The sequence below is a fragment of the Homo sapiens genome, chromosome 12, assembly GCF_000001405.40.
Source record: "Homo sapiens chromosome 12, GRCh38.p14 Primary Assembly".
In the NCBI taxonomy this organism is placed as follows: Eukaryota; Metazoa; Chordata; class Mammalia; order Primates; family Hominidae; genus Homo; species Homo sapiens.
This window is the reverse complement of record NC_000012.12, coordinates 77,220,867-77,237,738: the sequence shown is the minus strand read 5'-3', so window position 1 is coordinate 77,237,738 and position 16,872 is coordinate 77,220,867. Positions and strand designations below refer to the sequence as shown.

Here is a 16,872-nt window from a genome sequence, read left to right as displayed (position 1 = left end):
AAAGAGGATAAAAGAGAACTCCTTTTAAGAAAGGGGAGAAATTACCCTGATAAAGAATGCAACATTGACTTAAATGATCATTTATCCAAATGACGAACCTGAAACAACCTCAAAGATATGTTTTAAAGTTCAAAAAGACTGCATACTTCAAAAGGATAAGCTTAAGCTTTGGGTTTTTTAGTTTTGTTTTTTTTTTCTTTTTTTTTTTTTTTTTTTTTTTGGTGTTATCATTATCTTTCCCACTATGAGGAAAATGGAGACTAAAGTGCAAGATGAGATGAATTATCTTCTAAACAGCATCCTACTTTATGCACAGATGAAGTATAATATACAAATTTCCACCCTTCTCTACTCACAAACAAAATATAGCTAATATAGCAAGAATAATGTTAGAATTTGTGTTGGACATGATGATGGTGAAACAGTTGCCCACATTTATAATTCACATAAGGAACTAACCAAGGGAAGTAGATGCTGGGGATGAGAGAGAAAGGACATCATCCTAGATGGCAGAATCTTCAGAATGGCAGAATGTTTTCTCATGAAGATGGAAGAATAATGAAATTACATTTTGTAGAGAAGGCAGAAGGTTGACACCATCTTTTGACTTTATGGTCCCTGAATTTGAGGAGATCCAGTGGAAATGACATACATTCATGAGGAAGTCATATTTTAGTTCTGGTAAAGAAATAACAAGAGCATTCTGTAAACAAAGTGAGAATATAGAGAAGCTGGTTGATCATGGAATGAAATTTGGTTCAGGGACCAGTGAATTTGGGGTCTTCTTTTAGATGGGAGGCACAACTCATGATGTCAAGCAAGAGATACCCATAGAAATGAATATGCCTGGCCCATAAAGGATGAGCTAACCCTGATGTTTCAAAAAGAATGCTGATGTGACTTCAGTACATATACTAGTGGAGGTCCCAGCTGTAGTTGGAGACCTTGTGAAGCCAGCAATATTTGACCTAATTCAAAACCACTAATGTCAGAGCAAGCCAGTTCCTTTCAGGGATGGAGCCTGGTCTGTGGTTTGCAGGTTGATTCTGGTAAAGACCCCAGTTAGGCATTGCTATGTACCCTGAACAGACATTGCAGGCCAGGGAGCCGTCTCTGCTACCCTGAACAGTGAGCCCAAGATACCTTCAACTTTCACCACGTGGTGATTAAAATCTCTACCATTGACCCAAGCACAGACACTTTCTAAATCACCCACTCTTTCACCAAAGTCTCTTTTATTCTCTTTCACCATAAGACCCAGTTTTATAAGATATGATCTACTATTGACAGGCAAATATTGACCAGAGAGGGGAAATCAAGTATTTAAAAGATGGGAAGGACATCAAACTATTAAATATCAAATTCTGGAGAAATTTTGTAGATCAGCCAGAACTACTTCTAGAGAGAGAGAGAGAGCCAAACCATGTGGAGAGAGAAGAATAAAACAAAAGCAAACTGGCAGAAATGTGAAGTGGCTTGCATTCTTTTAACCTCAAGAGTGGGAGCAGCCAAGAACACAGAGTTTTACCAAGTAGAGGCAAAAGTCTTAGTCAAACTCAGTTGTACCTATTCTACTCCTGGCTGCCTCCACCTGATCATAATGACATTATGCTAGGAAAAAATGCAAATTAACAATGAGATGATAATAAGAGGCAGAGTTCTTTTGATCTTGTTAGCTGGAACCTGGGAGAAGGCATATTGCAGGGGTGGATATCTTTAGAGGGACATTGGAATTACCTGGGAGCTTTAAAAAAAAATGCTGAGTTTTGGCAGGGCATGCTGGCTCATGCCTGTAATCCCAGCACTTTGGGAGGCTGAGGTGGGTGGATCACTTGAGGCCAGAGTTCAAGACCAGTCTGGCCAACATGGTGAAACCATGTCTCTACTGAAAATATAAAAATTAGCCAAGCATGGTGGCATACACCTGTAATCCCAGCTACTCCGGAGGCTGAGGCAGGAGAATCACTTGAACCCAGGAGACGGAGGTTGCAATGAGCCGAGATCGTGCCACTGCACTCCAGCCTGGGTGACAGAGAGAGACTCTGTCTCAAAAAAATAAAAATAAAAATAAAACAGACAAAAAAAACATTAAAAAACTGAGTTTTATAAACTCTTCAGGTGATTCTAATAGATATCTAATATTTTTAATTACTGGTTTGGGGGTCTCCTGAGAGAAGTTTCTACCAGAGACAAAGAGCACTGTCCTGAAGGGGAAGAAGATGACGTTAAGTAAAAGAGTTAAGCTTGTGCACCTCAAGAGTTTCTTTTTCTGCTACTGGTCCTAGTCAAGTAACAAATCATGCTCTTTCCTATGACACTGATCCATCTGATGTACACAGCAGCGTCCCTGACAGGAAGGGATCGGGAGAACCCTGGAATGGGACACAGTAGAGGCTCAGTCTCCTAACATCTGGGGATGGGAAAGCTTGGCTGCTCTCCTGCCCATCCTGCCTCTCCAGAGGAACAGATCAACTCCAAGTGGAAAACATGACAGGGAGTGTATACCATTTAGTGGGTAACCAATTTATTCATGTGTGTTGGTTTGAAGATATATTAATAGAATCTGTTCATGATAAAGTAACCAGCATCCCATTGGAAAGGGGATGAAGAACTGAGACTAGAGGAACACATTGAAGTTTCTGGGTCTGACAAGGTTGTCAGAAATGATATGATGGTACAGTTGGAAAATGAAGGTAAGGGCAAAGATACAAAGTTTTACTGAGCTGGTGTAGCTTTGTCCCGGATGAGTAAGTGTAAAATGTTCTTTAAGTTCTTAAAATTTTGAAAATGATTCTCTAATCCCATTAATTCACTTGAGGGTCTTAAGAACCCAGAAAACCCAGGAAAAAAAAAAATCTGGTCTCAGAAAAGACAATGACCTGGATAACATAGCCAAAGGTCCACTTGGCGTAATTTAATGCCAGATTCAGGCTTCTCCACAATAACAGTATTTGGCCACATTTTTAAAGCACTTTCATTTTATGACTCGGTTTCTTATTTGTTGGTTTATAGCTTGCTATTTATTCTTACTCTGGCAATGTGACTTGTTATATTATGTCAGATGTGTCCTTCTCTGCATGGGAGAAGAAAATTAACTGTGAAGACTTCCCCTGACACCATATTTAAATCATACAGGACTAAATTTTCAAATATTCCAGATGAGACAAACTATTAAGTGAATATGGCACACAAGAGGATTTAGGAAATTTACACATGGTTTCTAAACTATGGCAGTGTAAGCTATTAAAATGAACTTCTGCCTTTTCTGAGATGACAATTTAATCCCTAAAAATAAGCCAGTGTTTGAGCAGTTGACCAGCCTGGAGCCTGGTGGATAGCTAACACTCAGTCATGTTGATTAAATCTGAGTGATACTCTTAGAAGGAAGCATTGGGCATGATTCTAATCATTAGAATTGAAAATGAGGAGAACATTTGGGAGAAACTGACTGTGCATTTCAAAATTAGAAATGCCAAAAAAAAAAGTGGCGGGAGGGAGGGTAGCTTTTGTCTGATGTGGTTTGGCTGTTTCAGGCACAGCTTAAAAGGAATATGGCAGAAAGTGTTTAGGAGATTGGTTCTTGAACTGACTTCAAACTCCAGCCTCATCTCAAACAGCCTTATTCTGACCTACTAGTTTTACCTTTGTTTATCTTGCTTCCTCCCAATTTTACCTTCACTTTTCTGAGATCCCCAGTTCTAGACACTCCTATCTTATTCCCCAATTGCATTTTACATTTTCCCCGTGACAGGTACTGACACCTTTGTAGTTCTGATATTTGATAACGTACCTTATTTGACTCAGCCTTGGAAAGCCCCATTATCTAAGAATTGGCCTCGCAACTAATACTCCTAATACTAATATGATCACCTTCACAGTCCTGGGCCAAACAACTTCCATCAGACATTCTAGACTAAAAACAGCAATTTTTTTAAAGTTCTCCAAAGAGATAACTATGCATTATGTGAACTCTAAATAAATAGCAGGTCAACAGGGATGAGTGACTCTTTAAAATAAAATTGCATTAACATTCAAATATTATTTTACCTCTTTCTCTACCTGAACTTGAAATGTTAGAATGCCCTGAGTTTTGTCTTTGGCCGTTTCTTTTCTTTACTTGCACTCACTCTTTAAGCGATTTTATTGAATCTTGTGGCTATAAGCATATTAATTCACTGTTGATTTTCAAATGTCTAACTATAGCTTAACCCCCTCCTCTGGGCTCCTATCTCATATACCCTGTACCCTGACATCCTCACTTGGACATTTGCTAACATTTCAAATATAAAATGTTTATGTCTGCACTTGAACTCTTGATTACCCCTCTTTCTCTCAGTCTTGCCAATCTTAGTAAATAGCTCCACCACCCCCCATGGGTGGATGAATGGATGGATGGATGGATGGATAGAAGGAAGGAAGGAAGGGGGCTTTCTAAGGCTGAGTCAAGTAAGGTACATGATCAGATATCAGGGATGGAGGGAGGAAGGGAAGGAGGGAAGGAAGGGAGGGAGGGAATGAAGGAAAGAAGGAAGGAAGGAAAGGTGGGTCAAGTAAGGTACATTATCAAATATCAGGGAGGGAGGGAGGGAAGGAAAGAAAGGAAACAAAAGGAAAGGAAAGGTCAAGTAAGGTTCATTATCAAATATCAGAGAGGGAGGGAAGGAAAGAAAGGAAACAAAAGGAAAGGAAAGGTCAAGTAAGGTACATTATCAAATATCAGAGAGGGAGGGAAGGAAAGAAAGAAGGAAAGGAAGGAATGAAAGAAGGAAGGAAGGAAAGGAAAAAGGAAGGAATGAAGGAAGGAAAGAGGGAGGGAGGGAAGGAGGGAGGGAGGGGGAAGGAAGGAAGGAAAAAGGAAGGGAGAAAAGGAGGTAGAAAATTAGGTAAGACAACGGGTTAATAGGATAATATGATACTGGAGAATATATAAACAGACATGAACATTTTAAAATAGAATTTTGGTGGACAAAATACTTTCAAAAACTGCCTCAGGGGTTGTTTAGGCTTTATTTGTTGATCCAAATTTTAAACTATTAATACATATTAAGAATTGGAGACAGGCATCACAGAGGGTCAAAATTTATAAAACAAATTGGATGATATATATGGTCAGCAAATGCCATGTAAAATGTCTCTATGACTTCATGTGCAATCAAGCTCACCAATGTTCTCCTGAGGTCAAAAACTTCTACAGAAAACCATACCAGCTATTTTTGAAACACGATTGTTGAGATTTGAGAATGAGGTCCAGAACAATGGCATATGTGAAGGAAAGTAGGTTTAGGTTGCAACCATTTGTAAAATGTTGTCTAAATGCATGTTGAGTGATGTTTGTTTATTCTAAGGCGGGATTTGAAACCAAATCTGATGAGTCAGAGCTCCAACTTGGATAAAAAGATGTGCTAAGAAAGAAGAGCCAACTAGGAAGAAGCTCCAACACCTTTTATCTCTCCCTTCATGTGTGTATAATCATCTCTGAGTGCCTATTCCCACCCACAAACTTAGCCTCTTGGATGATCCCCAACATCTGGCTGTGGTTAGCACTTCTACTCCTGCTATGTCAAGACTACAACAGAACAGCTTCTAAATCCACTCATGAAGCATCAGTCAAGTCCACAAATGTTTATTGGGTACCTCTGGTGTAAGAGTTTATGCTATACCCTGCTAAACACTTCTTTCACTTCATCCTTTCCTGGAAGTTGAAACTCCGTATTGCTTTTTATTAGTATTTGTTATTAACTTTTAACTACAAATCCACACAGCATGAGCATTACCAAAACATACATTTTTGAAGGAGAGAATAAACGATTTTAGAGCATAATTAAGACTCTAAAGTGGTGCTTCACTCACTTCCTCTAATTCTGGGGATTTTTTTTTCTTCCTTCTTTTTTGCTCTGTCATGAAGTCGGAGGGCAAGCCAACTCCAGCAATTTCACCAGATACCACACACTAATGGCTGTGGGACCGCTGCCAGTCGCCCTGTAGAAATGTGCTTCCCTTTGGCTTATCTCTACTCATTATTCTGTTCTTAATATCATTGTGCAAAGAATCTGAAGATTACGAAATAACAAGGTTTTCCAATATGTTGCTGTGTTTAAACGTGATAAATTAACAAGGGAATAGTGCAATGAAAGCATTTGCATTTCATTTCCATTCAAGGCACAGAGCTAACACAGTACTAGAGAGAGAAAGTGATTTAGTTTATTCTCAAGAGTTTGGGTGAGCACAAAACCAAATAAAGCTGAACCACAACATGGCAGGATTTATTAAATCTGTACAACTGAACAAAGTAGCACCCTAAACAGTGAACCAAGCTGCATTTTTCCTCCTTTCAAACTGTCAGAGCATAGATGCAAGACTTCCATCTTGCCAGTCACTGTGAAATATCACAGTGAAGAAGCTTTTTCTACCTCAGTATCAAATTTTCAGATACAGCCAGGCACAGCGGCTCACACCTATAATCCTAGCACTTTGGGAGGCTGAGGTGGGCAGAGTGCCTGAGTTCAGGAGTTTGAGACCACCCTGAGCAACATGGTGAAACCCCATCTCTACTAAAATACAGAAAATTAACCGGGTGTGGTGGTATGTGCCTGTAATACCAGCTACTCGGAAGGCTGAGGTAGGAGAATCGCTTGAACCGGGGAGGCAGAGGTTGCGGTGAGCCAGGATCGCCCCAATGAACTGCAGCCTGGGTGATACAGCAAGACTCCATCTCAAAATAAAAATAAAAATAATTCAGATACAAATACAAATACAGATACAAATTTTATTTAATAAAAATCTTCATTTCAAAAAAAGTTAATGCAAGTTACACAAGGAAAGGAGATGAGAAATGTTGGTCTGACACCAGTTTTTTCAGTCAGTTATCTTGTCCAACTCATGTATAAGGGCTTTATTTGTCATTTGTAAAAATAATAAAACCATCTTCCTATTTACTTCATGGTGAAAATAAGTTTTCTGAAGTGACACTTATTAGGCACATTTAGCTTTTTTTTTTTGAGACGGAGTCTCGCTCTGTCGCCCAGGCTGGAGTGCAGTGGCGGGATCTCGGCTCACTGCAAGCTCCGCCTCCCGGGTTCACGCCATTCTCCTGCCTCAGCCTCCCAAGTAGCTGGGACTACAGGCGCCCGCCACTACGCCCGGCTAATTTTTTGTATTTTCAGTAGAGACGGGGTTTCACCGTTTTAGCCGGGATGGTCTCGATACATTTAGCTTTTTAAAGAGCTTTTTAAAATATAAAGAAAATAAAGTAGTTTTTCAATAGTTCATTTAGAAAATCAGCATTTCTGTAGATGTTCACTGCAGAAAGTTTGTATGGGATTTGTTGGATGGATATCACTGTTTTGATAGAACTAGGCACAGGTCCAAGAACAGAGATTTAAATCTTAAATATGAAACAGTCCTTTGTTTTGCTTTTCTCATTCTTTGCAAAGCTCATTTTGGGCTTTAAAAATATTTACTCAAGGGATATTATCGTCAGGAACTATAACCAAGAAGTTGCCAACTTGATATTATTTGAGGGGATGCCAAAAAGACCTTTGCAGAAACCATCTCCCCATTGCCTCGCTGATGCCTGAAATTTCAACAGCTTTAATTCACTCAGTTATGCTGATGCTTGACATTTCTCTATAGTAACCTTTTGACGTGGGGAGGAGAAGGAGGAGATAGCACTGCTCAAACAACCACAACATCACCGTGCCATACTGTCATTCAGCCTAACTTTCTCCGTATTATTCACAAAGATATTCTAATGTTTTTTCAAATGGTTTTTGAAAGCTAGCTATAACATTGTTGTAGCATATGCTCCCAAACTTACTGAGACGAGGAAAGGGAAAGGCAGCAATGCCACCCTCTGTACTCACTGACACACTAGATATCCTGGGAACCCAGAGTGGAAAATCAGAGTGCCTTTTAGTGACCACTTCATTTGCTTCTAAATGCTGTGAATTATCTTTTGCAAAGTCACTTTGGAATTTAAGCAGCCATTTCCTGTTTTTTTGTTGTTTTTTTTTTTTTTTTTTAAATAGGACATTTACCTTTCTTACACACTTTCTCATTCTCCAGGTGATGGCTTGGAATTTCAGAGTTCTAAAATGAACCTAAAAAGTTACTTCAGCATCCTTAGAAATAAGTTGTTAAGGCATGAACATTTGAGTTCATCCAAAGTAGGTTGTTTTCTCTTTACACCTTAACCCATGTTAAACTATAGTTTATCCTGTATGTTGCTTGATAAATGCTTTCCTGTTTTAAGAGTATCGTTTTTGTTAGAGAAGACGAAAACAAAACAGGAGTTAATTAGCTCCGCTTCTTTTGTCATTTGTTAAAATCTATTAACATAACCAGCATCCCCTAAATTGAGGAAGGAAACTGGGGTCTTCATACATCTTACAGGATTAATTGACCAATTCAACTATGTGTCCATGTAAATTTGGTTTTAAAATGCTATCCGATAAGGAAATAAAAAAGATTTTAGTGGCCCAATTTTATATCATTCTCAAGGCATAGATCCTATTCTTTAAAAATAAACACTTCATTTGAAATCTATAATTTTTTTTGAGTTTGTATTAATTTTGCTCTTGCACTGTTCATTAGCTTCTTGGTACCTGCAAATAATAGGGAGATGTCTAAAACTATCTTGATGTCTGTCCATTCCTAGGTGTTATCAAAAGGTCTCATCAAATTATTTTATGTAGAAGAGCACCCAAATGTTATTTCTTGCTGTTCCTCTTCTTTTCCTCAAGAGAAAGAAGGTTGAAAACTGAAAATGATGAAGTTGAAGAATGAAGTCAATGAGTGTTAAGAAGAGATTCATTTATCCTTGAAGTAAGTGCAAATCCAATCGCATGTTTTCCTTATGACACAATAGTTACCCACAGATTGCTAAACCATTTCTTTTTTGTTCAGCAGAAATGAAAAAGTAGAGTGCTGGTGGTGATCATGTCTTCCCTTCACCCATGGGGACTTTTCATTTATCGCTGCCACTCCAGCATGTTCACTATTCTCTGTAGCATGAAAATCTGATAAAGCTCATGAGGGGAGAGAAAACTTAACTTCAATATTTTCCTGCTGAGCCTGAGAGTGCTTTGTATACCCTAGCAAGATGAAAATCTTAGCTGCAGCATCAGGAAGAGGACACCTCACTTTATCCTACATTCCTATCTCAGTCAGGAAAGTAGCTCTAGAGAAGGAACTAAGAAGTCAAGGTAGGTGCTTCCTTCATGCTTAAAGAGATTATCTCTGGAGATAAGTTCATTTGCTTCCTACCTCAGCTTTTTATAAATAATATGCCTTCCTTAGAGCTGGTTTTTCTTTAATCCCCTTAAGGTGGAGATCTTGAGGAATTTGAGTCATTGACAACTTACCAATAAATGGACCATCGTGGAATATTATTAATTATTGCATATGGAATAAATCCATTTCTGAACAATTGCCATTTAGCTGGAGTTTCAGAGGAAGGTTCATCTTGTACATGGACTCCTCGGTCTGGGAGACAGGGAAGTAGAGTGGCAATAGAGCACTCCTTTTTTTTTTTTTTTTTTTTTTTTTTTGTGAGATGGAGTCCACTCTGTCACCCAGGCTGGAGTGCAGTGGCACGATCTGGGCTTACTGCAACTTCCACCTCCTGGGTTCAAGTGATTCTTCTGCCTCAGCCTCCTGAGTAGCTGGAATTACAGGTGCCAGACACCATGCCTGGCTAATTTTTGTATTTGTAGTGAAGACAGGGTTTCGCCAAGTTGGCCAGGCTGGTCTCGAACTCCTGATCTCAGGTGATCCACCTGCCTCGGCCTCCCAAAGTGCTGGGATTACAGGTATGAGCCACCGTGCCCGGCCAACAGAGCACTCTTAAATGTCTCTCAGATGACTGTTCCCTTCCCAGTTGTGCTATTGTCTTAGCTGTTTATCTGTAAGTGAATCCACCTCTCTGAGACTCAGTTTTTCATCTGTAAAGTGGGCTATACTGTAAATCTCATAGGTTGTTGTGAGAAATTAAATAGCACATGAACCTGCCACATAATATGCATTCGATCATTAGAACAAAACGTTTATAAAAACCTTTAACGTTCTTCTGCCAGAAACATTCACCACTTGGTTGCAGCTACCCTGCCTCTAGCTCCATATCTATGCCACCTTTTTTTTTTTTTTTTTTTTTTTTTGAGGCACGGTCTCCTCTGTCACCCAGGCTGGCATGCAGAGGCAGGATCATGACTCACTGCAGACTTGATTTCCGGGGCTCAGGTGCATCTCTTGCCTCAGTCTCCCAAGTAAGTAGGACCACACATACCCCACCATGCCTGGCTAATTTCATGTATCTATTTTTTTTTGGTAGAGATGGGATTTTGCCATGTTACCCAGGCTGTATGCCAACTTAATGGTCCACTGTGAGAGAGAATTCGTTAGGACTGACAAGGTCTCAAAATGAGAGGAAATCAAAGCCCCCAGAACACTCTGTAGTCAAATAAGACACCCTGAGCCGCAACAGGCTTGGGATTCTGAGAAGTGGTAGCGACTGAAAGAGAACTCCTTACCATAATAAATAAGGCTACCGACTCAGGAGGCTGAGACACAAGAATGACTTGAACCCAGGAGGCGGAGGTTGTAGTGAGCTGAGATCGTGCCACTGCATTCCAGTCTGAGTGACAGAGCAAGACTCCGTTTCAAAATAAATAAATAAAGCTACTGAAATATCCTCCAAGATGCTTATCACTGGGTATCAAAAAGCCTCTGGAGGTGCTTATCTTAAATTCTTCTGGCAAAGGACTGTAAGAAAACTGTCAGAACAGGGCCACCATTCTTGAGAACCTGGGAAAAGAATTACAATGAAAAGGGAGACTTGGGTGAAGACAGTAGGTAGCAGTGTGAGGTCAGAACCAGGCAGGAGTATAGCAACGGCTGTCAATGCATACTGGGACCCACAAGGAGGCAAGACGGTAGGATTACAGTGAGCTCACAAGGGCCATCTCAGGGAAGGGCATGGTAGGTGTGAAGGTTAATTTTATGTCAACTTGTTGGGGCCATGATGCTTAGAAATTTGGTCAAACATTATTCTGAATGTTTCTGTGGTGTTTCGGATGATATTAACATTTGGATCAGTAGACTCTGAGTAAAACAGAGTTCTCTGCATCATGTGGTTGGGCCTCACCTAATCAGTTGAAGGCCTGAATAGAATAATAGCAATAACATACTCTTGGACAGCTCACAGATGTCTGTTTGTTTGCCAGCTGTCCTGCTGTATTAGTTGTTTACCCCACCTCCCTGAAGCAAGAGGAAATTTTGCCAGCAGACTGCCTTCTGTCTTGAACTGCAAAATCAGCTCTTCCCTAGGCCTGTCCCCAGGCCCTTCCTGACTGCTAGCAGACTGGAACTACAGATTTTGGACTTGTCAACCTCCATAGTTGAATGAGCCACTTTTGCAAAATAAATCTCTATTTTTATATATACACATCCCATTGATTCTGGTTTTTGTTTTTGTTTTTGTTTTTGTTTTCTGGAGAACACTGATCGAACAGGAGAGAAAAGGCCCTGCCGAGTAGAGGACTAGTTTTGTTGCTACCATCACCATTGTTAGTATCCATGCCTCTTGTTAGACTCAAGAACCCTGGTTAAGCATCAGTGATAGCTATGAAGCAAACATCTGTATATTTCACTTTTTCCTATTTATTTCCATTAATTAATTCCTTTACTATTCTTCCACAATGACTCAGAAGCAGTTTACCTAAAGAAAAAAAGTATATAAACAATAAGGACATTAAAATAAGAAAGAATACCTAATATGGGAAGGAAGAAGGAAAAATGTCTGAAGCATATTTAGGAAAACTCTATACTACAATTAGTAGCTCTGAGCTTCTGTCATCAAAGGCAAAAAAAGAGAACTATAATAGCTTTCATAGCATTCAGATAATGGATTGAAGATGACTCTATAGAGGACATGGCTAGCGCTCACCACTTGTGATCTCCCCTCCTTCCCGAGTGCATGGAAAAACTACATTTCTCAGCCCCCTGACAATTCTACAGGGGCACGAAACTAGTTTGGGCCAATGAATTGTGAGGAGAAGCAACACAGTGTTCCTTCCAGACTGAGGCCACACAAGCCCCGCACCACCTCTGTGAGGCAGACATATTGATTCAGTGGCGCCACCCCATCCAGGCAGCTTGGATCACAAAGGAAATAGCGGCTGTGGAGAGTTACCTGACCCATAGAGGACTTTGTGTAAGTGAAAGATTAACTTTGGGTGTTTAGTCAATGGGATTTCAGAGTTTAGAGCTTAGCTTGCTCTAAGTAAAATACCAAGTGTGATGCCTGACATAGGAGCCACTCTATTACTTGTTTCCTTAACCAGAAAAACAAGGTGTGTGTTTTTCTGGTTAAGGAAAAGTATAGACTTTTTTTCTGGAGCTAAATTCTAGAGAAAAAATTATTTTGTATATCTTTAAGGAAAGAATGACAATCTAGTAAAAAAAAAAAAGTCTTCAAAAGTGCATTACACAAATGGTAGGGATGTTTTCTTCTGCATCAACTTTTAATTTAATACAACCTAGGCATATTGTTATATTGTAATTCCTCCAGAGGGTCTAGGGTCATGTGGTCCAGGTGGTTCCTGGCCATCCAAGAGGATGCAATGACTGAGCTGAGCAGAGGTCACAGATTTGTGGCCTGTGACCCAAATCTAGATTGCAGCACTATTTTTCTTAGCCTACTGTGTTTTCATAGTGTTTGACTGGTTGATAGTATTAAATAACCATGGCATCCACATAAAAATAGTGATGATTTCTGGCTTCTATTTTTTTAAAAAATCAGTCTTAGCACACTGGGTTCACATTTCCAAGTGGCAAAAAGTCAGCTTAAGCTGGGTAGCTGCAGCCCTTTCAACTGCGGCTTCTTCCACAAGTCCCCAAAGTCCTGCCCCAATGCCCCCACTCCACTTGTTTTTGCTACCTGACTGGTCCTTGGGGGCATTTAAATTTATGCTTCTAGGCTTCAAGGATCCAGAAAACTAGAACCACTATAAAGTCTCGAAGGCATTTGTTTTAAAAGTTTAGGAAACTGGGCCCCAGACCATACCTCTTACCTTAAACCAATCATCAGCATTTTCACATGTTTTTACATACTGAGTTTGATAGCCCAAGCTTCCCAGCAGGAAACAGAAGGCTCACTGAAGGTGAGATGATTTGAGGAAGGTTTAATGTGTGGCGGCAGGGTTGGGGGAACCACAGGGATTAGGGCAGCATGCTGGGCCTGTAGGGGCAATGGAGGGAGTGGCCACAGAGAGTCATGTTGTATGGAGAGGACACCTGTGAGACCTGACAGGAACTGTGACCTTCAGCCAGAGAAAAAGGAGGAACCAGGGCAAAGAATACCTCAACCTCACTTTTCTGTCTGTCTCTGCATCACTTGCTGCTGCCTCCCACTGGATGAACCCTAGTGAAATCCAGAGGGCAAGGGAGTCCATTGATGTTGTTCATAGAGACGCCTCCTAGAGCATAGAGCGGCAGGAAAGGAGAGGACCAGGAGGAGTAAATAGAAGATAGCACAGCTGTCAGGTAGAAATTTGGGGAAGAAATCATTCTACTGTTGCTCAATAGTATTTAAATGAGAGAGAGTGCACGCGCAATAATGCATAGAACTAGCCGACTCGCTGCATTGGTTTGCTAGGGCTGCCATAACAAAGCACTACACACTGGGTGTTTCAAGCAACAGAAATTCATTGACTCACAGCTCTGGAGGATAGAAATCCAAGATCAAGGTGTTGGCAGGATTGATTCCTTCTGAGGACTGTGAGGGAGAATCTGTTCCCTGTCTCTCTCCTAGCTTCTGGTAGTTTGTGGCCACCTTTAATGTTTGTTGGCTTGCAGTTGCATCATCCCAAACTTCAGATGGCATTCTCCCTCTGAATGTACCTGTCTCTGTGTCCAAATTTCCCCTTTTTGTAAGAACACCAGTCATATTGGATTAGAGCCCACCCCAATGACCTCACTTTAATTTGATCATCTACAAAGACCCTATTTCCAAATAGGTCACATTCACAGGTACTGGGGGTCAGGACTTTGACATCTTTTAGGGAAACACAAGTTAACCCACAACAGTAACTTAATAATTCTTAGACTAGTGGTTCTCAGCTGATGGTACATTATCAATTGTGGAATGTGAAGTTTACTAGATTAAATGAACATTTTTCATAAAATTTATTTTCATTTGTTTTCTCCTATTTCCACCTTAACAATAAAATATATCCCCAATAATAGTACTGAAACTTACTGTTTTTGTGTTTTCCAAGTTATCATAACATTTAAATGTATACTCCAAAGTATTATTTCAATTTTAAAAAACAGTAATAGAGTTATTATTTTGGTTTGTTTGTGCATTATAGTTTAGCAGAAACTCCCAACAAGATAACTGCAATGGTATAAATTATATTCTTATAATTGATATCCTTATAATTATAACCTTACAATTTTTATCCTTATAATTTTAAATTCTTTAAAAGGCATAAATTATATCTCCAATAGTAGAATGCCTCTAAACATATAAATATCCTTCTAGAAAAAAAGAGATTTGCTATTTGTCATGGTGGGATCCAGGTTCTCTGATAGAATCAATGGTGAGTTCCAATATTTGAAAAGTAATTTATAAGGGCATTACCTTAAGCATTGCCCACTTGGTCCATAACTAGAACTGATGTTTCAGGACATGAGAAGCTGCTCTACATTACGTCCTTACTTCTGTTTTTCCTTGCTTTAAAGAAGCTAGAAATATTTGAGGACTATGCAAATACTGAACACCATGGGGATTTTGTTGTAATTGTTTTTTAATTACTTTTGAGAGATTTCACACAATTATGCATAAATAGCTCTGGGTGTTTTCTAAAGGCTTAGTTTCAATATTGTGGCTGTTCATTCATCATCATATGGATAGCTGTGGTACTATCGGGCCCCAACTAGGATCAGTTTTAGAGGAGATCTATGGCAATGTTCCTTATAGTAAGACATTGGGTATAGAGGTCGAGTGACACAGACACGAGAATATAGGAGAGTCCTGGACTGGGAAGGAAGGAATTGCTGAGCAGTTGTTGAGGCAGAAGGAAACAGGCAGAAACTCAGTGACCAAACCAAGGCACAAGAGATGAACTTGGGTTCAGAAATGAGACAGAAATTCAAGTGTAAGGGTACAAGATCAGGGTTGCGCTGGTATTAAGGCAACATCAAGTTGAGTCACCTGCTGATAAAATTCAGGCCCTTGAATCACTCTTATCTTAACTCAGCATTGGCTGTAGCTAACTAAGCCTATAGGAAAGACCAGAGTACAGGTGACACAACAGGCCCTGACTGCACTAAACTTTCATTTATTGATTATTGACCCCACAATTTCACAGGAACATCCACCTAAAGATTTAGTTTGAGTTCTGATTATCACTGAGGCAAAAGAGAACTTCTTTTTAGGCTCAGAAAAATATATGTATAATATTTGCTCATAAATTTGACAGATGTATTGAGTGCCTACTCGTGAGCTTGGCACTCTGCTGTGGATAGACTGATGAACAAGTCAGAAAGCACTTAGGCTATTGGGAGAACAGGAGGAGACAGGGCCAGAGGGGAAAAGCAAATGACAGACCACACAGGCTGGGTTAAGAGTGTTGAGTTTTCTTCTAACTACAGAGGTTTTTAAATGGAGCAGTGTTTTGTTCTGAGTTTGTTTGTTTCAATAAGAAAAAATCAATGGTAGAAGGGAGAAAGTAATACCAATGGGCCATTGTGGAGGTTATTGCAGTGATCAGAGTGAGAGGTACTGGTGCCTCAGACGAGTTTGGGTGCAGCAGAATAGTGAAAAGTAATTTGGAGGTCAAACCAACAGGACTTGCCACAGGATGGATGGATGAAAGAAGTAGAATAAAAAATGAACCCAAGTTTGGGGGTTAATCAATTGCATGACTGATGATACAACTGTCCTAAATGGAGAAGATAATGAAGAAACAGGTCTGGTAGAAATAAAGATGGGTTCTACTTGGAGCTTAAAGACATCTAAATGGAGTTTGTATACAGGGCTAGAGCTGGAGAGAGGTTAGAGCTAAAGAGAACCAGAAAGTATTCCCCAATTTTCTTCCTAACTCTATTTTTGACCTTGAAATATCATTTAAATTTCTCTGATTTAATTTATTTTGAAATATATTTCTAAAAAACGTTTTTCATAAAGACCAGGTCTTGCTACGTCGCTCAGGTTGGACTTGAACCACTGGGTTTAAGCCTTCCTCCGCCTCAGCCTCCTGAGTAGCTGGGACTACAGGCACACACCACCACACCCAGCCAGATATTTTTAAAATATGTAAAATATAACTTGTTACATATTTACCAGTGCTTTAAAATGCTTTTTGAAATTTCTTCCCCCAAGATATCTAAAAACATGACATGGGAAATCTTTGTTTTTGTAAAAATAAACAATTAAACAGATGGTACAATGAAAATGATAGCATAAACATTTCATCTTTATCAAATTCTAGTTTAAAAAACAAGAAAGTTCTGAAAAATAAGTATACTACCTAATGAAAATACATATTTCCTATTATAAAATAATTGAAACGTATTGCACATAATTTTTGCTTGACTTGAAGGCATATTTTCACTTTAAGACAAAAATAGTTACTGCCCAAATTAGACAATTATGGGTAGATAGCAGAAAATAAACATTTGGAAACAAGTTAGCATACGCCTATGTCCCTAATTTATACAAGCTCTGAATATTTCATACCTCCTTAAGAAAAATGCAGAGTCCATGTTGAATTATTCTTTCTGCACAAAGGTACCTCTATGTTTAAGCCCAGATCTGATAAAATATATATGTCCCACGTGCAGTAATGAATATTCATAGAAATCCTGCCAGGA

General features: G+C 39.5%; 1 long non-coding RNA gene across 6 annotated transcripts in view; it reads left to right on the top strand.

The window, feature by feature from the left end:
- LINC02464 (long intergenic non-protein coding RNA 2464) overlaps window positions 1–16,872 on the top strand; it is a 97,632-nt gene that overhangs the window by 79,496 nt on the left and 1,264 nt on the right. For 4 of the 6 annotated variants that reach the window (NR_187539.1, NR_187542.1, NR_187545.1 and 1 more), the window contains 2 exons: window positions 8,657–8,823; window positions 8,908–9,203. This is a non-coding gene — a long non-coding RNA (long intergenic non-protein coding RNA 2464). Of the gene's footprint in view, window positions 1–8,064; window positions 8,166–8,656; window positions 8,824–8,907; window positions 9,204–11,968; window positions 12,209–16,872 lie in introns of all 6 variants that reach the window. The other 2 variants (NR_187543.1, NR_187544.1) reach the window with 2 other exon arrangements.